The following is a 23421-nucleotide window of genomic DNA, read 5'->3' as shown; positions in this document are numbered from 1 at the left end:
ACTCCTAAAAGATAACAACGGAGAAACTCTAGATGACCTTGGATATGGCAATTGCTTTTTAGATAAAACACCAAAGACGTGATCCATAAAAGAAATAATTGACAAGTTGAACTTCATTAAAATTAAAAGCTTCTGCTTTGTTGAAGATATTGTCAAGAGAAAGAGAATACAAGCCACAGACTGGGAGAAAATATTTGCAAAACATGTATCGGATAAAGGTATATTCATCCAAAATATACAGATAACACTTAAAATTCAACTATAAGAAAATAAATAACCCAATTAAAACATGGGCCAAATCCTTGACTGATTGCTCACCAAGAAGACACACAGATGGCAAGTAAGCCTGTAAACATAAACATCATATGTCACTAAGAAATTCCAAGTTAAAACAACAATGAGATAAACACCTACCAGAATGGCCAAAATTCAAAGCACTGACAAAAGATATTATTTTGAAAAACAAAGACAAAATTTTAAAAGGCAGATTTATGCTAATTTAATCAAGGCCCCCCAAATAAGATCAGATTAAGACAGAAAATGTTTAATAGTGTGCCCTTATTGCTGTCTTCTACTATGTTTCACACTACCCATAAAAACATCTAAAATATATATTGTTGGAAAATCTGTTGGTATTGGCCTAATACCAATACCGACTTGCAAAATCTGGAATTTTGTTGTCAGAATATGACCCACGATGTAAAATCTCTCTTAATAAAACATCTATCAATGCTGAGGAAACAGGGAGTAGTGCATGAGAACATATATCTCTCAAATGCATGCCTGGCTTGCTTTAGCACAAAGGGAGACAAACCACCAGCCCCAAGAATGATGGGAGAGCTTATGACCAAGCAGGCCCAAAACCCACAGATAACCTGGGCCATCGGCCACTCTGATCATTCAACAGTCTTGATTCTAACAGTTTTTTTTTTTCAAGAAAGAGGGTAACCCTTAAAACTACACAAAATATGAATTTGGAATTAAAGCCTCTACATAAAGCTAGTTTTCTTAGAGGGTTATACCTTCAAGAAAACAAAGCAGTGGGAAAAGAATGTTCACAGTAAAGGAACAGAAAGAAGAAATAAAGAGTGAGAGAAAGCAGGAGAGGGAGGAGGAAGAAAAAGAAGGGTGGGAGGAAGAAGAAAGGGTACAAGGAAGGAAGGAATGAAGTAAAAAAGCAAACTGACTATAAGTTTCCAACAAGAATAAATGTTCCAAGTGCTCCTAACAACACTGAAGTTCTTGGCAAACAGTGGTAGAGTCATCAAAGGAGAAGGAGATGGGGGTCAGAGAAAGGATCTGGAGGCCCAGGTCTCGGCTGCTTCACAGGCCCTACTTGTAGCCACCTTCCTAGGAGATCCCTTAAATAAACTAGGCATTCACTGGGTAAAATTTGTTTAACTGAATTTAAATGCTTGAGCTATCCTCAGAGCTCAGATGGTTCCCCCATTTCTCTGACCACTCTCCTCTGACTGCTAGCCCTGAACTCGACCTGCAGCTTGAAAACCAGGACTTGACAGTCCAATTTTTACATTACAGTCTGGCTATCCAAGAGTGAACTGTGGTTTTCACCAAAAACATGCCCCTGTTGGACTGCCTGTTTCCTGGGTTCCTGTTTCTCTCTTAACCCATCCTAGTGCCCGTCCACCCAGGCAATCCTTCAACTCTAGGCTGTTGCCTTCCATCTGGTTGCCATGCCAACAGCTTAGTCTAAACCCTCATCTAGAACAACAACCCTCATCCTCCCCATTCAGCCTCATCTCTCCAATCCACACTCATCATAATCAATTAATGTTCCTACCAGATTCCTCTTTTTAAACAAGTGAATTTTAAATGTACTTGGAATAAAATTCAAAGTGCTCATTCATTATAATTTCTATCACCTTACAAAAAGCTTATTTGCTTTCCGGATCTATTCATTTGACAATGGTAGGATTTTATCTTCTGCACTTTTCATCTCAATTTCCCGTGAAACATGTTTCCTTTCTATCAAGAAGTAAATCTGAAAATAAGTATTAATCTGTACTTTGTACGATTAAACTTAATTAAAATAAATGTTTAATTTGTTATATTTCTGGCAAAACGTCCCCAAACCTTTCTCTTTATATAATTTTGTCCCACTCCCAAACAAGTGAGCCTAATTTATTTTTTAAATTCCTCATAGTTGAAATCATTTCACAAACTAAAGACAAAAATGGAAGAGACATATCTAATCTTTTCAAAAATTACTTTTTAAGGAGAAAAATAACCACAGAAATCACATTTGATACTTTTGTTTTTCAATCCTTTAAAAACTTAATCTCACCAGAGGGAAAAGGAACATTTACTTTCAGTTACATAGTAACAAAGCTGCAACAGCGAATTATAAATCTCAGCTTTATAATGCTTTAGTTTTAAATAGGACTACAAGATGACAACTACAAGAAAACTGGAAACAATAACCAGTACTGCATAGCTACAGATGACTTATTTACTCTACATGTTAATTTTCAAATTATTGGTAGTATTAGAAAGTAATTTCCATGGCTCTAGCTGGTCTTCACAGTTGTTAATAAAATAAGACGACATGCAATCAATTCGATTAATACTTCTCCCCAATTCCTTGACTTAACGTACATGAATCAGAACAAAAGAACACATGAGGCTGCTCAGCAGTGAAGGCTTTTCAATTCTTTGCCTGTGGTACTTTTCTTTAACCCTTGGATAGCTCCTTCTACTTCCCTTATAGAGGTGTTTCTCTCTTCAATATTCTATTTCTGTCGTTGCTGTAGTCTCATTTTGTTCTTTTAGACTATTCTATCTTGCCCTTAATGTTTCATGATCTATTCTGCATTTATTAGGAGGTTTTCAATTGCAGGTAGGACAAAACCATATTCAGACTAGCTGAAATTATTTCACATTATAAGAATCTGGGCCGGCCGCGGTGGTTGATGCCTGTAATCCCAGCACTTTGGGAGGCTGAGGCAGGCGGATCAGCTGAGGTCGGGAGTTCAAGACTAGCCTGACCAACATGAAGAAACCACATCTCCACTAAAAATACAAAATTAGCTGGGCATGGTGGCTCACATCTGTAATCCCAGTTAGTTGGGAGGCTGAGGCAGGAGAATCACTTGAACTGGGGAGGCTGAGGTTGTGGTAACCCAAGATGGCACCACTGCACTCCAACCTGGGCAACAAGAGCGAAACTCTGCCTCAAAAAAAAAAAAAAATCTGAGGGGTTAGTATCTGCTCCAGGTACATTCCAATCCAATGATGCCACTAAAGATAGAGGTTCTCCCCATCTGCTAGTTGTGCCATTAGCCTCTCTGTGATGGTCACAAGACGGCTACAGCATTTTCATGTCCCCACCCCAAGAGGAAAAAGAGGAGACAGTGTCTTCCTAATTCTCCTTCTACTGAACAAGAAAACACTGTAGAAGATACCAGTTGATTCTGGCTTATGTCTCATAGGCCTGGACTACCACACATACTCTTTTCTAAACCAACATTTGGTAGAGAAAATGGGGTATGATGTTTGGCTTAAACTAACAATTTGGAAGTAGGATAGATACTGGAGAATCAATCTTAAATGTCAACTACAGCTTCTTTTATATCTCAGGAATTATTACACAAAGGTAAGGTAAATAGCTTTTACTTCTCAAAACTTTGTTTGTTTGTTTGTTTGTGACGGAGTCTTATGCTGCCCAGGCTGGAGTGCAGTGGCATGATCTCGGCCCACTGTAACCTCCGTCCCCCAGGTTCAAGCGATTCTCCTGCCTCAGCCTCCCAAGTAGCTGGCATTACAGGCACATGTCACCACGCCTGGTTAATTTTGGTATTTTTTAATAGAGACGGGGTTTCGCCATGTTGGCCAGGCTGGTCTCGAACTCCTGACCTCAGGTGATCTGCCCACTTCGGCCTCCCAAAGTGCTGGGATTACAGGCGTGAGCCAACACACCTGGCCCTTAAAACTTGTTAATTGTTGACTAAGAAAATAAAACCCAGCATACACGATATCTAAGCAAAATTAATGCTTAAAAAGACACCTATTATTTTATGTACTGAATATAGTCCCAAACATTGAAAAACATTTACTATTATTCTATAGGCATTATAATATCATAAATAATGTTTGGAAGACCTTGCCTTCTTAAAAACTGTTCCTATCTGCTACATAGCTATAGTATCAACATTTCTATGTTAATACACGGTTTCACATGATTCCAGAAGTTTGTGAGCTTCTTGGCTGGGGTTATCACACAGAAATCAACTCCAGCTCTACCTTGAGGGAAACATTTGCAAGTATTTTATATACAGATTATCCTGGAGTCACATGCATGGATGCCATTGGATAGAAATTCTGGGTTAATTTCCTCTTTATATAAACAGAAATAGCATATTATTGGTTATTCTCATTGATAGCATTTATTTAAATAATTGTAAGACTATAAGAAGATCAGTAATTACTCACTAGTTTAAAAAAAACACCTGTTCTTGCTGTAACATATCCCAGAAGGGAGGGTAACAAGAATAAATACTTCTCAATAAATAAAATTAACTAAATATATTCACTCTTCCCCTGCACATTTTCACTGGATGGTTTAGCTAAATCAAGAAAGTAAAATACTAGCTCTTGATTCTGAAGACCTTGTGGTTTGAGGTAAAGTGACAAATTCCTTATCACTGTAATACCTGGCTAAGATAGTCAATAAATGTCTGTTAGGATGGAGGCATTTTACATAGGATGAGGCACAGACCTAGTCTTTTTGCTGTGTATCCAGTATATTTATTTGGAACAGTTGTTTCTAAATAAATTCCTGCTTCTTCTAGTCTTCCCTACTGCTTACAATTTGTGCAAAGTTATTTTATTTTTTTCCAAGTTATCATCTCACAATACACAGCTGAATCATAAGCTTAAAGAATACGTAAAGAGACGAAAAACTGAAATTGAAAGACTGAGTAACATATCCCATTTAACAACATAACTAGTCAGAGATAGATCTAGGATTAGAACAGAGCTAATTTGATATTTGATTCATGACTCACGTAATCAATAATTATATGTTGAACACCCACCATGTCAAAAGCACTTCGCTAATAAGCTCTAGGGCTGATTTCGTAAGAACGTACTCACTGGAATTATAAATAGGAGTTTATTGGTGATTATGCTTGAAGTAGAATAATAAGTGTAGAAGCTAGACTTGCATGAGTTGAGGAAGAGATTAAAGACCAAAGACATATAGTCACTGTTTAATTTAAACCATAGAAAAGAATATTACAAGTATTAAATTGCAAATAACAAAACCAAAAATAATTAAAGCATGACCAGAATAGATCTAGTGATGTAGTTCAATGAAAAACACAAAGAATTCCTTTATGGTCAAATTTGGCACTTAAACATATTATTTACATTTTAATGAGAACTTCTGACATTCATGATAATTTACCCAAATTCTGGAAAATACTGAAATACAGAGCTCAAGGTCCCATATTTCACTGTACAGAACCACCTAGCTTCATAATTGTTCTCCTATATTCAGTTAGTAACTATTCTTAAATGGAAAATGCATAGCCTCACCTCTTTTTTCTCTGAAGAATAACTTTGGAGAGCCAATTTAATTGTTTTCTTTGGGAAATTAATTTGAATATAATTACTAGTCATTTCCAAAGACTCCAAAATTTAAAGGAGAAGCTTGTCTGGTGTCACCTTCCCTGTGAACTCTTCCTCCGTCTTCCCAGTCAGAATTAATATTTTCTGCCTCAGGCTCCATAGCTCTGTGCTTGAAATAATTACTGAATTCTGCCTTGTATTCTAATCAGTCCTATACCACAGAGATTTTCTCCAATTGTGACTTCAATTATTTAAATCTCTGATTTTCTCATAAGCACAAAGCTCACATTTTCAGAAATTTCTTTATAAATTATAGGGATACCCTCTGGCATCCTAAGCCCCCCAAGTCCAAAGCAGATTTTAACTTTTTAACTCAACAGCCTATTCTTTTAACAGTCCAGCAAGCACAGCTCTGCTTGATATACAAAAATAAATGAGACCAGTTTCCTAAATTCCATGAGTTTTAGTCTATTCACATAAACAGGGCCATAAACATATCAATGAAAATATAACACAGTAGGTACATAACCCATATGAAGGTGATATCTTTATGTTTTCATCATCTTCACTGTTATTATCAAGAATATAATCATCATCATTGTATTAGTCCATTTTCATGCTGCTGCTAAGGACATAACTGAGATGAGGCAATTTACAAAAGAAAGAAGTTTATTGGACTTACAGTTCCACGTGGGTGGGGATGGAGGACTCACAATCATGGTAGAAGGTGGAGGCATGTCTCACATGGTGGCAGACAAGAGAAGAGAGCTTGTTCAGGGAAACTCCTGTTTTTATATAACCATCAGATCTCATGAGACTTGTTCACTATCACGAGAACAGCATGGGAAAGACCTGCCCCCAGTGATTCAATTACCTCCCACTGTGTCCCTCCCTCCCACAACACATGGGAATTCAAGATGAGATTTGGGTAGGGGCATAGCCAAACCATATCATTCCACACCTGGCCCTTCACAAATCACATTTCGAAACCAATCATGCCTTCTGAACAGTCCCCCAAAGTCTTAACTCATTTCATCATTAACTCAAAAGTCCACAGTCCAATGTCCCATCAAAAACAACGCAAGTCCCTTCTGCTTATGAGACTGTAAAATCAAAAGGAAGTTAGTTACTTCCTAGAAACAATGGGGACACAGGCATTGGGTAAATACAACCATTCCAAATGGGAGAAATTGGCCAAAACAAAGGGGGTACAGGCCCCAAGCAAGTCCAAAATCAAACAGGGCAGTCTAATCTTAAAACTCCAAAATGACCTCCTTTGACACCATGTCTCACATCTGGGTCATGCTGATGCAAGAGGTGGGTTCCCATGGTCTTGGGCAGCTCTGTCCCTGTGGCTTTGCAAGGTACAGCCCCCTCCTGGCTGCTTTCATGGGCTGGCATTGAGTGTCTGTGGCTTTTGTAGGTGCTTGGGGCAAGTTGTCTGTAGTTCTACCACTCTGGGTTCTGGAGGACGATGGCCCCCTTCTCACAGCTCCACTAGGCAGTGCCCCAGTAGGGACTCTGTGTGGGGGCTCTGACCCCATATTTCACTTCTGCACTGCCCTAGCAGAAGTTGTCCATGAGGGCACCACCCCTGCAGTAAACTTCTGCCTGGGCATCCAGGCATTTCCATACATTCTCTGAACCCTAGGCAGAAGTTCCCAAACCTCCATTATTGACTTCCATGCACACACAGGCTCAACACCACGTGGAAGCTGTCAAGACTTAGGGCTTCTACCCTCTAAAATAACAGCCTGAGCTGTATCTTGGCTCTTTTAGCCATGGCTGGAGTGGCTAGAACACAGGATACCAAGTCCCTAGGCTGCACAGAGCAGGCCCGGCCCATGAAACCATCTTTTCCTCCTATGTCTCTGGGCTTGTGATGGGAGGGCCTGCTGTAAAGACCTCTGACAAGCCCTGGAGACATTTTCCCCATTGTCTTGAGGATTAACATTCAACTCCTCATTACTTATGCAAATTTCTGGAGCTGGCTTGAATTTCTCCTCAGAAAATGAGATTTTTTTTCTATCTCATTGCCAGGCTGCAGATTTTCCAAACTTTTATGCTCTGTTTCTTTTATAAAACTGAATGCCTTTAACAGCACCCAAGTCACCTCTTGAATTCTTTGCTGCTTAGAAATGTCTTCCACCAGATACCTTACATACCTCTCAGGTTCAAAGTTCCACAAATCTCTAGGATGGGGAAAAATGCCACCAATCTCTTTGCCAAAACATAACAAGAGTCACCTTTGCTCTAGTTGCTAAGAAGTTCCTCATCTCCATCTGAGACCAACTCAGCCTGGAACTTACTGTCTTATACTGCTATCAGCATTTTGGGCAAAGCCATTCAACAAGTCTCTAGGAAGTTCCAAACTTTCCCACAATTTCCTGTCTTCTTCTGAGCCCTCCAAACTCTTACAACATCTGCCTGTTACCCAGTTCCAAAGTAACTTCCATATTTTTGAGTATCTACAACAGTGCCCCACTCTACTGGTACCAATTTACTGTATTGGTCCATTTTGATGCAGTTGATAAAGACACATCCGAGACTGGGCCATTTACAAAAGAAAAAGGTTTATTGGACTTACAGTTCCAAGTTGGTGGGGAAAGAATCACAATCATGGCAGAAGGTGAAAGGCATGTCTCACATGGCAGCAGACAAGAGAAGAGAGCTTGTGCAGGGAAACTTCTGTTTTTATGTAACCATCAGATCTGATGAGACTTACTCACTATCACAAGAACAGCATGGGAAAGACCTGCCCCAGTGATTCAATTACCTCCTGCCAGGTCCCCCTCACAACATGTGGGAATTCAAGATGAGATTTGGGTGGGGACAAAGCCAAACCATATCAATCATCATCATCATCATCATCATCATCATCATCATCATCATCATCATCCCAGGAAACAGTTACTGAACAATATGCCTCAAGCATTCCTCTACACCTTAATTCCACTCAGTTCTCACAGCTCTAAGAGGCAAGAACTTATATGAGCCCTAATTTTAAAGCTGAAGAAACAAAGGCAAAGAAATCAGTAATTTTCTCAAAATACAGAGCTGATAAAGAGTTTTTAGTTCTTATTAAACTGTTATTTTTTCCATAAGTTATTGAGGTACAGGTGGTATTTGGTTACATGAGTAAGTTCTTTAGTGGTGATTTCTGAGATTTTGGTGTACCCATCACCCAAACAGTATACACTGCACCATATTTGTAGTCTTTTATCCCTTGCCCCCTTCCCACCCTTCCCCCCAAGTCCCCAAAGTCCATTGTATCATTCTTATGCCTTTGCATCCTCATAGCTTAGCTCCTACATATGAGTGAGAATATATGATGTTTGGTTTTCCATTCCTGAGTTACTTCACTTAGAATAATAGTCTCCAATCTCATCCAGGTCACCACAAATGCTATTAATTCATTCCTTTTTATGGCTGAGTAGTATTGCAACATATAAATATACCATAATTTCTTTATACACTCATTGATTGATGGGCATTTGGGTTGGTCCCACAATTTTGCAGTTGCAAATTGTGCTGCTATAAACATGTGTGCAAGTATCTCTTTCATATTATGACTTCTTTTTCTCTGGATAGTTACCCACTAGTGGGATTGCTGGATCAAATGAGAGTTCTACTTGTAGTTCTTTAAGGAATCTCCACACTATTTTCCATAGTGGTTGTACTAGTTTACATTCCCACCAGCAGTGTAGAAGTGTTCCCTGTTCACCACATCCATGCCAACATCTACTGTTTTTTGATTTTTTGATTATGGCCATTCTTGCAGGAGTAAGGTGGTATCATATTGTGGTTTTGATTTTCAGTTCCTTGATCTTAGTGATGTTGAGTATTTTTTCATGTTTGTTGGTCATCTGTATATCTTGTTTTGAGAATTGCCTATGCATGTCCTCAGCCCCCTTTTTTATGGGATTGTTTGTTTTTTTGTTTTTCTCTTACTGATTTGTTTGAGTTTGTTGTAGATTCTGGATATTAGTCCTTTGTCAGATGTATAGATTACAAAGATTTTCTCCCACACTGTGGATTGTCTGTTTACTCTGCTGACAAAGCTTTTGCTGTGCAAAAGCTCTTTAGTTTAAGTCCCAAATATTTTTTGTTTTTATTGAATTTGCTTTTGGGTTCTTGGCCATAAAATCCTTGCCTAAGCCAATGTCTAGAAGGATTTTTCTAATGTTATCTTCTAGAACTTTTATAGTTTCAGGTATTAGATTTAAGTACTTAATCCATTTTGAGTTGATTTTTTATAAGGCCAGAGATGAGGATCCAGTTTCATTCTCCTACATGTGGCTAGCCAATTATCCCAGCAGCATTTGTTGAAAAGGGTGTCCTTTCCCCCAATTTAAGTTTTTGTTTGCTTTGTCAAAGATCAGTTGGCTGTAAGTGTTTGGGTTCATTTCTGGGTTCTCTATTCTGTTCCTTTGGTCTATGTGCCTATTTTTATACCAGTACGATGCTGTTTTGTTGACTATGGCCTTATAGTATAGTTGGAAATCAGGTAGTGTGATGTCTCCAGATTTGTTCTTTTTGCTTAGTATTGCTTTGGCTATGCAGGCCTTTTGTTTTGTTTTGTTTCATATTATTTTTAGAATTTTTTTTTCTAATTCTGTGAAGAATGATGGTGGTATTTTGATGGGGATTGCATTGAACTTGTAGACTGCTTTTGGCAGTATGGTTGCTTTCACAATATTGATTCCAGCCATCCATAAGCATGGAATGTGTTTCCATTTGTGTCATCTATGATTTCTTTCAGCAGTGTTTTGTAGTTTTCCTTGTAGAGGTCTTTCACCTCCTTGGTTAGGTATATTCCTAAGTATTTTATTTTATTTTTTGCAGCTTTTGTAAAAGGGGTTGAGTTCTTGATTTGACTTTCTGCTTGGTCGCTGTTGATGTATAGAAGAGCTACTGATTTGTGTACATTAATCTTGTATTCAGAAACTTTGCCAAGTTCTTTTATCCGTTCTAGGATCTTTCTGGAGGAGTCTTTAGGGTTTTCAAGGTAAATGATCATATCTTCAACAAACAGTGACAGTTTGACTTCCTCTTTACCATTTTGGATGCCCTTTATTTCTTTCTTGTGTCTGATTGCTCTGGCTAGGACTTTCAGTACTATGTTGAAGAGGAGTGGTGAGAGTGGGCATCCCTGTCTTGTTCCAGTTTTCAGAGGGAATGCTTTCAACTTTTTCCCATTCAGTATTATGTTGGCTGTGGGTTTGTCATAGATGGCTTTTATTACATTGAGGTATATCCCTTGTATGCTGATTTTGCTGAGAGTTTTAATCATAAAGGGAAGCTGGATTTTGTCAAATGCTTTTTCTGCAACTATTGAGATGATCATGTGATTTTTGTTTTTAATTCTGTTTATGTGGTGTATCACAGTTATTGACTTGTGTATGTTAAACCCACTTGATCATGGTGGATTATCTTTTAGATATGCTATTGGATTTGGTTAGCTAGTATTTTGTTAAGGATTTTAGCATCTACATTCATCAAGGTTATCGGTCTGTAGTTTTCTTTTTTGGTTATGTCCTTTCTTGGTTTTGGTATTAGGGTGATACTGGCTTCACAGAATGAATTAGCGAGGGTTCCTTCTTTCTCTGCCTTGTGGAATAGTATCAAAAGGATTGGTACCAATTCTTCTTTGAATGTGTGGGAGAATTCTGCAGTGAATCCATCTGGTCCTGGACTTTTTTTTTGTTGCTAATTTTTAAATTACCATTTCAATCTCACTGCTTGTTATTGGTCTGTTCAGAGTATCTAATTCTTCCTGAATTAAGCTAGGAGGGCTGTATTTTTCCAGGAATTTATCCATCTCCTCTAGGTTTTCTGGTTTATGTGCGTAAAGGTGTTCATAGTAGCCTTGATTGATGCTTTGTATTTCTGTGGTGTCGGTTGTAATATTTCCTGTTTCATTTCTTAACAAAGTTATTTTGATTTTCCCTCTTGTTTTCTTGGTTAATCTTGATAATTGTCTATCAATTTTATTTATCTTTTCAAAGAATCAGCATTTTGTTTCACGTATCTTTTGTATTTTTCTTGTTTGCTTGTTTCAATTTCATTTAGTTCTGCTCTGATCTTGGTTGTTTCCTTTCTTCTGCTGGGTTTGGGTTTGGTTTGTTCTTGTTTCTATAGTTACCTGAGATGTGTCCTTAGAATGTCAGTTCATGCTCTGTCAGTCTTTCTGAAGTAAGCATTGAGGGCTGTGAACTTTCCTCTTAGCACCGCCTTTGCTGTATCCCAGAGGTTTTGATAGGTTGTGTCATTACTGTCGTTCAGTTCAAAGAATTTTTTTTTTGAGACAGAGTCTTGCTCTGTCGCCCAGGCTGGAGTGCAGCAGCGCGATCTCAGCTCACTGCAAGCTCCACCTCCTGGGTTCACACCATTCTGCCTCAGCCTCCTGACTAGCTGGGACTACAGGCACCCACCACCACACCCAGCTAATTTTTTTTGTATTTTTTAGTAGAGACAGGGTTTCACTGTGTTAGCCAGAATGGTCTTGGTCTCCTGACCTCGTGATCTGCCCACCTCAGCCTCCCAAAGTGCTGAGATTACAGGCATGAGCCACCACGCCCAGCCCACTTGAAAGAATTTTTTAATTTCCATCTTGATTTTGGTTTTGACCCAATGCTCATTCAGAAGCAGGTTAATTTCCATATATTTGCATTGTTTTGAAAGTTCCTTTTGGAGTTGATTTCCAGTTTTATTCCACTGTGGTCTGAGAGAATGCTTGATATAATTTCAATTTTCTTAGATTTATTGAGGCTAGTTTTATAGCCTATCATATGGTCTATCTTTAGGAAAGTTCCATGTGCTGTTGAACAGAATGTGTATTCTGCAGTCGTTGGATAAAATGTTCTGTATGTATCTGTTAAGTCCATTTGTTCAAGCTATAGTTTAAATCCATTGTTTCTTTGTTGACTTTCTGTCTTAATGACCTGTCTAGGGCTGTCAGTGGAGTATTGAAGTCCCCCACTATTACTGTGTTGCTGTGTATTTCATTTCTTAAGTCTATTAGTAATTGTTTTATAAATTTGAGAGCTCCAGTGTTAGGTGCACATATGTTTAGGATGGTGATATTTGCCTGTTGCACAAGGTCTTTTACCATTATATAATGTACCTCTTTGTCTCTTTTAACTGCTGTTACTTTAACATTTGTTTTGTCTGAAATAAGAATAGCTACCCCTGCCCGCTTTTCGTGTCCATTTGCATGAAATGCCTTTTGCACCCTTTTACTTTAAGTTTCTGTTAGTCCTTATGTGTTAGGTGAATCTCCTAAAGGCAGCAGATGGTTGGTGAGTTCTTGTCCATTCTGTGTTTCTGTATCTTTTAAGTGAAGCATTTAGGCCACTTACATTCAAGGTTAGTACTGAAATGTGATGTACTGTTGCATTCGTCATGCTTTTTGTTGTCTGTGTACTTTGTTGTTGTTGTTGTTGTTTGTGTTTTTTTTTCTTTTTAACATGTATTTTTGTTTTATAAGTTCTGTGTCATTTATGCTTTTTTTTCGGGATTTAATTACTTTATTTTTTTTTAATTATACTTTAAGTTTTAGGGTACATGTGCACAACATGCAGGTTTGTTACATATGTATACATGTGCCATGTTGGTGTGTTGCACCCATTAACTCATCATTTAACATTAGGTATATCTCCAAATGCTATCCCTCCCCCATCCCCCCACCCCATAACAGGCCCTGGTATGTGATGTTCCCTTTCCTGTGTCCAAGTCTTCTCATTGTTCAATTCCCACCTATGAGTGAGAACATGCGGTGTTTGGTTTTTTGTCCTTGCGGTAGTTTGCTGAGAATGATGGTTTCCAACTTCATCCACGTCCCTGCAAAGGACATGAACTCATCCTTTTTATGTCTGCATAGTATTCCATGGTGTATATGTGCCACATTTTCTTAATCCAATCTATCATTCTTGGACATTTGTGTTGGTTCCAAGTCTTCGCTATTGTGAATAGTGCTGCAATAAACATATGTGTTGCAGAAAAGGCCTTTGACAAAATTCAACAACCCTTCATGCTAAAAACTCTCAATAAATTAGGTATTGATGGGATGTATCTCAAAATAATAAAAGCTATCTATGACAAACCCACAGCCATTTATGCTTTAAAGAGGTTCCATTTTGATATGTTTCCAGGATTTGTTTCAAGATTTAGAGCTCCTTTTAGCAGTTCTTGTAGTGGTGGCTTGACAGTCACAAATTCTCTCAGCACTGGTTTGTCTGAAAAAGACTGTATCTTTCCTTCCTATATGATGATTAGTTTTGCTGGATAGAAAATTCTTGGCTGATAATTGTTTTGTTTGAGGAGGCTGAAGATAGGGCCCCAATCCCTTCTAGCTTGTAGGGTTTCTGCTGATAAATCTGCTGTTAATCTGATAGGTTTTCCTTTATTTTCCTTTATAGGTTACCTGGTGCTTCTGTTTCACAGCTCTTAACATACTTTCCTTCGTCTTAACTTTGGATAACCTGATGACAATGTGCCTAAGTGAAGATCCTTTTGCGGATTTCTACCTCCTGATGGTCGTGTTGGTGGCACCGAGTTCAAGAAGAGCACATGGGATGAGAAACATTGTTGAATCTCTCTTTAGAAAATATAATCTTTTACTGAGTCTTGAACAATCAAGTGCCAGTCAACCTTTCCAAGTTTAACTCCAACCTCCAAGCTATTTAAAACTACTTCTTGTAATCTTGCTTATCTCAACAGTCTTTTCTTTGCCTAACATACAGTAAGTGTTCAATATGTGCTTACTGAATTAATAAGGTCATAAACAGCTCCTCCCTCTGCCTGAAATATCTTTTTACACCTATTTTCAAATACTATCCCCTGTGAAAGCCCAGTTCTGACCCTCCTGTTGGAAATATTCTCCCAGGCTGAATAACATTCCTTTCTCTGTACCTCCTTAAAGGCATGAAATAGCACCGAATGATCTCCTAAATCCAGAAGCCAAATCCCTTCTAAATCATGAAATCGTCAGAAGTAACCTATCAAGTTGAAGAAATTCACCCTTTATTTCTAGTAACTTACCAATACGCACTTCTACCTTTCAAAACTGAAAGATACCAGCCTTGAATGAAATTCAATTCAAACAGTTCTCAAGCATCTTCCACATTGCTCAACACTAACAAGATTATAAAAATTAAGGTTCCTGACTGCAAGAGTCTTTAATTTACTAGGAAAGGAGGACCTACATATAAGGAAGCACGCTAAATAAAAAGGAAGCATGCTAAATAAAACAGTTATAGCATACTATAAAGGAGGTGAAGATCAAACAAAGTAGGTCAGATGTATAACCGCATAGTAACTTGCAAATGCCCAGAATCTAGTACTCATTTATTAAAGTTTTATTAGCTAACTGTTCCGTAAAAGAATAAGGGAGAAATGATACATTTTAAACAAAAGTCTTAAAAATTAATTTACACACAAAAGTATATCAGGCTTTGCCAGACACCTACATTCCAGTTCATGATAGTAAGGTAATGTCCATTACAGCACTGATGAACAATTTATTAATCAGTAAGAGAGAGAGTTTTCTGCTAAGCTCTCAGAAAGTCTATACTTAATGGTTTATGTTTCCCTATTTTGCTTATTAATAAAGCAAAGTTGTGGTCTTCTGTAGATCCAACTGCCCTTGAGAACGCTTAGATTACACACACACGAAAAGATGTAGGATTCATTATCCAGAAATTTAATTTTATTGAAATCAAATTTACTTTTTATGAAATAAACCATTTTTTGCAAGTTATTTTTGCAATTACTAGGTTACTTTAAAAATAAATACAGTGATCATAAAACCCAAGAGTGCATGTGAGTAACACTCATATTCAATATGGTAGGTATTTTAAAACCTCTCAATCATAGACATCTTTACAAATTGAATTATTATTCACAGTAACAACTTGCAAGATTTTGTCTTAGTTCCACCAGGAAAATGCCTTGATATGTACTTATATATGATAAACAAAAAGTTGAATAAAGCAAATATATAATTCCTAAAATTGGTAATGCTCAATATCTGTCTTTGACTGTCAGTTCCCGCTACTAGGACCTCAGTGTGGCTCCATTTGCAGCTCTAGGGCTGATATTCAGTTGTCATACATGGGTCTAGCCATAGCAACTGGTAAATTATTGTTAGTAAGTTACTGTTATTATTATTTTAAGGGTTTATATTGGTTAATAAATAGCTGTTGATTTGCTCAGGTTTCATAATTGTTCTCTTGCTGCCCAGGTGCCCTGGTTCATATGCTGAGACACTGTATAACTTTCCCCCTGGAGATCTAATGAGTGACATGGCAGATCCCTGCCCCCTAGCCATGTCCACTCCGATTTGTTGCTGCCTGTACTGTCTTAATTGTTTTAAATAATTTTCACATCACCCATACTCAGTTTCTCCTTCTGATCTTCTCAAATTATTGGCAATGGCCTCATTCCTTACCAGGTTTCACCACTGTTAGTCTTCCCTGGCTTTATACTTCATTTTACCTCTCTTTTATCACCTCTGTGAAATAGAGAGGAGGCAGGAAAGAAACGAAAGCATAAAAAGTGAGTACAGATCTCTCAACCTTTCGTTATTCTTTCAAGAGAGTAACTTGCAGATAAGGAAAGGAAGACCTTGGAACAGATAGTATGATCTACTTCTACTTCATCCAAGTAACGTACTGGGGAAACAGATTGCTTATGAGCCAGCAAAAGAGTGAGAACATGAAAGAAGCACAAAGAGAGACATGAAACCAACATCCTCAGTGTGGTATGGGGCTCAGTGACCCCCAATCTCTGGTGCTGTGCTGCCCCGTCACCCTCTGCCATTATTACTCTTCATGAAAAACTGCTTACTAATGTACTTAATTGACTTACTTTTTCTTTCCAAAGCCAATTAAGCTTGAATGAATATTAATCAATCTTTTTACAGTCTCTGAAGAGCACTGAATAAAATGAAGAGTAATTTCAAAATCAGGATGTGGGGTGCCTAACCCAAATGATAAAAAGAAAGGCCATGCTAATCCTTACCATCCACCAGCAACGATCTTCCAAAAATGCTGTCCCTCTTTGGCATTCCTTAAAATAACATGTCTCTCTAAATTTACTTTCCAGAAACATAGTTCTGGTTACTATTTTCAATAGATCCTACTTGGGAATATCAATGCAACTGTATTTTCTGGGTCTGTCTAGTTAATTTACCATGCATCCAACCTAAAATACTTCTTACTATAAGCATAAGAGGTCTAGTTTAGCGTCTGTGTATGCATATACACATAGGAGGACTGGCTGGGAAAGTGAGATTTCCAAAGGCAATTGTTGAGGTAGGGAAATGCATTTGGTAGCAGCTCTCCTCAGCAGAGAACATCATACATGCAACCAAAGAGGACCCTAACTGCAGAAAGTTAAAAACAACAAAATTCTTTTTAAAAACCTTCAGACTGTATACATATGGTATATACATTAAATTTGTATAAAGTTATGTTCAAAATATATCATCCATGTTGGAGAAGTACAAGATATCAGTACAAGAAATTGCCTAAGATTAGTTCCTGGTATAATCTGGAGATGAATGAGACAAAGGTTGTCATTGGAGATACAACCGTATAATATATATAATTATACACACACACACACACACACACACACACACACACTAGAATTACTAGCATACACTAGATATTTCCTGTATAAATAGGTAGATGATAGATATTATATCAGTTATTGTACAATTATCTTCTTCAGTCTTTAAAATAATCTGCAAGATAGATATTATATATATTTAACAAATGAGGAAACTTGGGATTACAGAGATTAAATAAACTCATAAAACTGGCAAGTATAGGAGTGGAATTTTACAGAGGCGATTGGTTTAGCCTCTCCAAATCTTGATTTTTTGCATGTAAAATGGGGTTCATAATATCCATCCAGTGGCCAGTTCCTGCCAGACTATACTCAGATGATACCATTATGCCATGTTCATCTGGTTTGCCCCCTCAATCATTTCTGCATCTATATGTTCAAGAAAAAAAGAAATAAATAGAGAGACGTCAGCCAATAAGGAGTCGTAAAAGTATTATTTTAGATAAACCAATGAAAGAGACTGACTGTCCTCAGGTTTCAACATAGCACAGACTTAAGCTTTAGATACCAGGAACAGAGAAGTTGCTACAGAATTCCTGGTCCCTCTGGCCTCCCAATGATAGTAGGTATGCTTTCTACCCCTTTGCCCCTGTAATTCTAGTTACTTTATAGGCTGCTAAAAGTAGGGAGAAGGAAATATGAAATGAATTCTAGAAAAGAGTACGCTTGCCTTTGAATAGAAGAAAGAAAATCAAGATGGGGTGTGCAGGAATGAACAATAACAGTAATAATAACTAATATATATTGAGTGCTTACTAAACGCTGGAAACTTTATAGGGATTTGATGATTTCTTCCTCACAATAGCAATTGTTATTACCATCCCCATTCTATAAGGGGAAAGCCAAGCTGACTGTTTTAAGTAACTAGGGTGAGATCTCACAGCTGGTGAGGAGCAGGACCCTGTTCAAAGAGAGGAAGGCTGGCTCTCAAATGTGAACTACCTGTGCTTAAGCCACACCCAATCTCCATTCCACTGTAACTTCAGAGAGCATAAATCCCACTGCAGTATAGGTCTGAAGAAGTAAACAGAAGCATTTTAGGGCTTAAACTGAGAGAGTGGCTCAAAGAAGAGGTAGCTGAATTTGCACTTGAAGGAGTGGAGAGAAGGACTGTAGGCTAAAAGGAAAGCTAATTAGAGGGAAGATAGATAAAGCAAGAGGTCCACATGCCAGCCTGCTCTTTTGACATTGGCTTTTTGCCTAACAGTTGGTGCTTTAATGTGGGGAAGACCCAAATGCCTACATGGATTTCAATGACCTCAATTCTAAGGATATTGGTGTGACCCTCCTTTTTGTGGGTTTCACAACTGATGGAAACAATTACAATATTCGAAGCAACCAAACACTTGAACCCTGTACTCAATATGTGAATTTTGAAAAGTTGTAAGCATAGAGTTCAAGAATTTCATTATCCATTGGAATAAAAGCTGGGATATGAGGAAGGGACTGTCTTAGTACAGTCAGAAATGTACAACAGAGTGCTGAAAAATGTTAAAGAATTCTTCAATACAAGGATGACTGGAAAGGAAGACCCAAAGGAACCAGGTCAAATATATCATTTTTTTCTTATGGAAGAATGATTCTCCAGAGGGAGAAAGAGATGAAGTATATACACCATGGAATACTATGCAGCCATAAAAAGGAATGAGGTCATGTCCTTTTCAGGGACATGGATGAAGCTGGAAGCCATTATCCTCAGCAAACTAATGCAGGAACAGAAAACCAAACATACACGTTCTCACTTGTAAGTGGGAGCTGAACAATGAGAATACATGGACACAGGGAGGGGAACATCACACACTGGGGCCTATCAGGGAAGGCTGGGTTGGGGAGAGCATTAGGGAAAAGAACTAATGCATGCTGGGCTTAATACCTAGATGATGGGTTGATAGGTGCAGCAAACCACCAGGGCATATATTCAACTATGCAATAGACCTGCACATCTTGCACATGTATTCTGGAACATAAAAAATAAACAAAAAATAAAAGCAAGCCATGTGTAAAAAAAAAGTCTGAACTATATACACATTTTTGCTAAGTTGTTTAGGTTTAGGTGTTTTTTTATGTACGTATCTTCACACATATATTCAATATTAAGTTGTCTACTGAAGTGCACATAGTACGGATTTGAGGTAGGAGATTGGTAGGACTTGTTTTTTGGTCACAACCCTGCTGACCAAAACAGGATTTGGTCCCTAGGCAATGAAGTGAAGAAATCAAATTGGCAGGAACCAGCAGACGGCAATGAAAGCCATCCCTAGCTGCTCTCATTGCTCTTTAGCATAAAACATTCCCACTAGCATCATGGCAGTTTACAAATACCATAGCAACAACCAGGAAGTTATCACCCCATTCCACAGCCATGACCCAGAAGTTGCCACTTCTTTCCTAGAAAGTTCTAAATAATGCATCCCTCAATTTGAATTAACCTGCCTTTGAATTTACATGTAATTAAAAATGAATATAAGTAAGTATAAATACAGTTGCCAAGAGCCCATACATTACCAAATCTGGGCACATTGCCTGTGAGTTAGCCCTGTTCTGCAAGGAGTAGTAATGTTCAATAAAAGATTGCTGTCTCATATTACTGGCTCACCCTTGAATTCTTTCCTGGTGAATTCTTTCCTGTGTAAAGCCAAGAACCCTCCTGGGCTAAGCCCCAATTTTGAGACCTGCCTTTCCTGCATCAGGTTCAACTGGGCAGAAGTATAGTTTTACCATTTGTATATAGTTTGTATTTAAGAACTATTGGGCATTAATAAAAAGCAGTGCTTTGACAAGCTGCCTTCAACTGAGCATCAGTAATGCCTAGGGTCTGAATTCTCATTCTTCCTTATAGGTAGTTCCAAGTAGGGGATTTTAATTTTCTGCTCAGTCAGAGCCTACTAATTAAACACAAAACTCTTGCTTTTATCAGCCTTACTGCTTTTGATATCCCTATTGTGTGCTTGGCAGCCTATGCAATATATTTTAATACTATTATTTTTAAAAAGTTTTCAAGAAACAATATAAATAAATGTTCATCTCATAAATATGCGATAAGAACATCTTCCCACAATTAATTTAGCAAAAATATTTTTAGTAAAGGATGTATAATTTTTTAGAAAAATTCATCTGATAGAGTTTTGATAAAAAGTGGCAATCTGCCAAGTGAAGCCTGGTCTATTGTGTCTAGTTTAGCAACAAAACACACAGTTCTTCTAATAGGAACCTAGGATCCTCCAGATAGATCCTGGAGACCTGCCTGAGAACAGTTATTGGTCAACCTGTGTGAATCTACATGAAAGGTACTAATATATCAGCAATGAATAACTTCACCAATTGTATATTTCTAGTATTTCATCATATTAAAAGAAACAATTCCTGAGAGCATTTTGCTTTTAATATTAGTTTTTTCCTTGCAAAAATCTTTCCCTTACTGGAAAAATACTAAATCTGTGGCCTAACTTCAGTTCAGCTACAGTCTTAAGCTGTGCAAGTTTATTGATGTTTTTGAATCTCAGTTACTTCACCTGTAAATGGAGGAACTTGCAATGCTAAGCTGTCAGGATTATTACATTTCTTAAGCAGTATAATATTGAAGTGTTAGTCTTCTCAGATGAATTTTGGACAAATGAAGAGTAAGACAAAAGAATCAGCCTATGAAAGCCTTGATCACTCTGAGTACTGATGAAAATTGGCCTGGAGAATGGGTAGACGGAGATCGATTTCACTTACCTTGTAGCAGGCAGCAATGGACTGGGTAGGTTCCCTCTGCCAGGGCAATGGTTTACACCTAAGTTCAGATCCTGGCCCAAAGCAGCAAAGTCCTTCTTTCTGCAGACAGAGAAAAAAGACGGTCCCTCAGCAGAGCATGCAAGGTTATTCTGCTCACATTTCTTATCAGCTGAGTTCGTCCTCAGCTGAGTGTGTGGGAAGAGTGAGAGAGTACAGTAAGGCCAGGAATGTTGGGATAAAAGTGTCTCCCAGGAAATCAGGAATAGGGAAAAAACATTTTCCTCTGTTTCCCGCCATATCCACTAGGAGGAAGGAGGACCAGTGTTTAGATGAGTGGGTAAGTCCTATTTAGATAAAGCACACTTTTGCATGGAAGCTAAAATGTTTCCTTTGCCATGAAGGCTCTCTGCGAGCAATGAAGCATAGGTATAATAAAGATACTTCAAAGGTACCAGAAGTTGAGTTTAATATCTTACAAAATCTACCTACTATGGGAAGAAAGGGGTCATAACAGAGAATGTGGGAAAAGTTTTCAAAGGAGAAGAGCAAGAAGTTAATGAGGAAAGACAGAGCTCTCTAGGTAGGTAGGTAGGTAGGTATCTGCTGACTTTTTGGAAGTAAAGAGCAATATTGCTGGATGGCTAGAAACATATACTTAGCCAGGGCTCAAGTTCTTGTTCTGTACTTACTAGCTATGTGTGTGTGCTTCCACAAGTTATTTGACATCTTGATATCCTTGAGAGTTAGTTTCCCCATGGCCAAAATGGATCATTACACATTTTACGTCATACAGCCAACTTGTGAATTAAATAAATTAATACACATCATACACTGGGATTAGTGTCTGGCCCACAGGAGTGTGTGAGTGTTAACTAATATTTGATGTTGTACTTGCTTCACAACAACTACTCTGAGCTCCCCTGCACGTGGCTTTCAAAACAACCCAGAAGGGTTTAGAAGGCAAAGAGTAAGATTGAGTTTAAAAAGCAATAGAAACAGCACTGTTGATTGGAATGTAAATTATTACAGCCACTGCAAAAAACAGCATGGAGTTTTCTCAAAAAAACTAAAAATAGAACTACCATATGATCCAGCAATCCCACTATGGGCCACATATCCAGAGGAAATGAAGTCAGTATGTCCGAGAGACATCTGCCCTCCTATGCTTATTGTGGCACTATTCACAATAGCCAAGACATAGAATCCACGTAATTGTCTAACAGTGCGTGAAGGGCTACAGAAAATGTGGTATATATAATGGAATACTATCTAGCCATGAAAAGGAATAAAATTCTGTCATTCATGGCAACATGGAGCTTGGAGAAGATTATGTTAAGTAAAATAAGCCAAGCACAGAGACATAAACACCACATGCTGTCATTCATATGTGGGAGCAAATAAAGTTAATCTCTTAGACCTATAGAATAGAACAGTGGTTACTGAAGGCTGGGAGGGGTAGTGGGTGGGAAGATAGCCAGAGGTTGGTTAATAGATATAAAAGTGCAGCTAGATAGGAAGAATAAGTTCTAGTGTTCTACAGCACTATAGGATGACTATAATAAAACAATTTATTGTATATTTTTACATAGCTAGAAGAGCAGATCTGGAATGTTCTCAACACAAAGACATGATAATGTCTGATGTGATGGAAATGCTAATGTGGACGGATGGATGTGGGCATTACACATTGTATAAATGTATGGAAATATCACACTGTATCCCACTAATATGTATAATTATGATGTGTGAATTAAAAACAATAATAATGGGTCAGGAGCCACAGCTCATGCCTGTAATCCCAGCACCTTGGGAGGCCAAGGGGAAAAATCACTTGAGCCCAGGAGTTTGAGACCAGCCTGGGCAACATGGCACAACCCCGTGTCAACAAAAAATATAATAATTAGCCCAGAATGGTGGTGCACATCTGTAGTCCCAGCTACCTGGGAGGCTGAAGTGGAAGTCAGCCCCGGAAGAATGAGGCTGCAGTGAGCTGTGATGGCACCACTGCACTCCAGCCTAGGTGACAGAGTAAGACCCTGTCTCAAATAAATATAAAATAAATAAATAATAAATACAAAATTAACTGAGCTTGGTGGTACATGCCTGGGGTCCCAGCTACCCAGGTAGCTGAGGCCAAAGGATTGCTTGAGGCCAGTAGTTCCAGACTGCAATGAGCTATGATTGCGCTACTGACTGGGAGACAGAGTAAGACCCCATCTCAAAAGATAAATAGTAATAATAATAATACTAATAAAAGAAACAGAACGTATTCAATTCAAGAGATATTTACTAATCATTAGGTCTTGTGCTTGATACTGCAAGTGTAACAGTCCTTATTTCTGAGAAGCCTCTACTTCTAACAGAGACAGACCAGTGAACAGACCATTACAGAGAAGGAGGATCTCAAGGTCTCTTCCACTGAGACTTGACCTTTGTTTGCTCCTTTCACTTATTTCATAAATAAATTTAGAAACATTGTAA

General features: G+C 38.1%; 1 protein-coding gene across 27 annotated transcripts in view; it reads right to left on the bottom strand.

Moving 5' to 3' along the window:
* The window catches only part of CHRM3 (cholinergic receptor muscarinic 3), a 528883-nt gene that overhangs the window by 401703 nt on the left and 103759 nt on the right, over positions 1-23421 (bottom strand). For 15 of the 27 annotated variants that reach the window (NR_164748.1, XM_047443115.1, NM_001375982.1 and 12 more), the window contains one exon: positions 20941-21039. The exons of the other annotated variants lie outside the window; for them this stretch is intronic. The gene's annotated coding sequence lies outside the window, so the exon portion shown is untranslated. The remainder of the gene's footprint in view (positions 1-20940; positions 21040-23421) is intronic. 27 annotated transcript variants of the gene reach the window in all.

The sequence above is a fragment of the Homo sapiens genome, chromosome 1, assembly GCF_000001405.40.
Source record: "Homo sapiens chromosome 1, GRCh38.p14 Primary Assembly".
Classification (NCBI taxonomy): domain Eukaryota; kingdom Metazoa; phylum Chordata; class Mammalia; order Primates; family Hominidae; genus Homo; species Homo sapiens.
The sequence above is the reverse complement of the archived record's forward strand: the minus strand, read 5'-3'. Positions and strand labels throughout refer to the sequence as shown.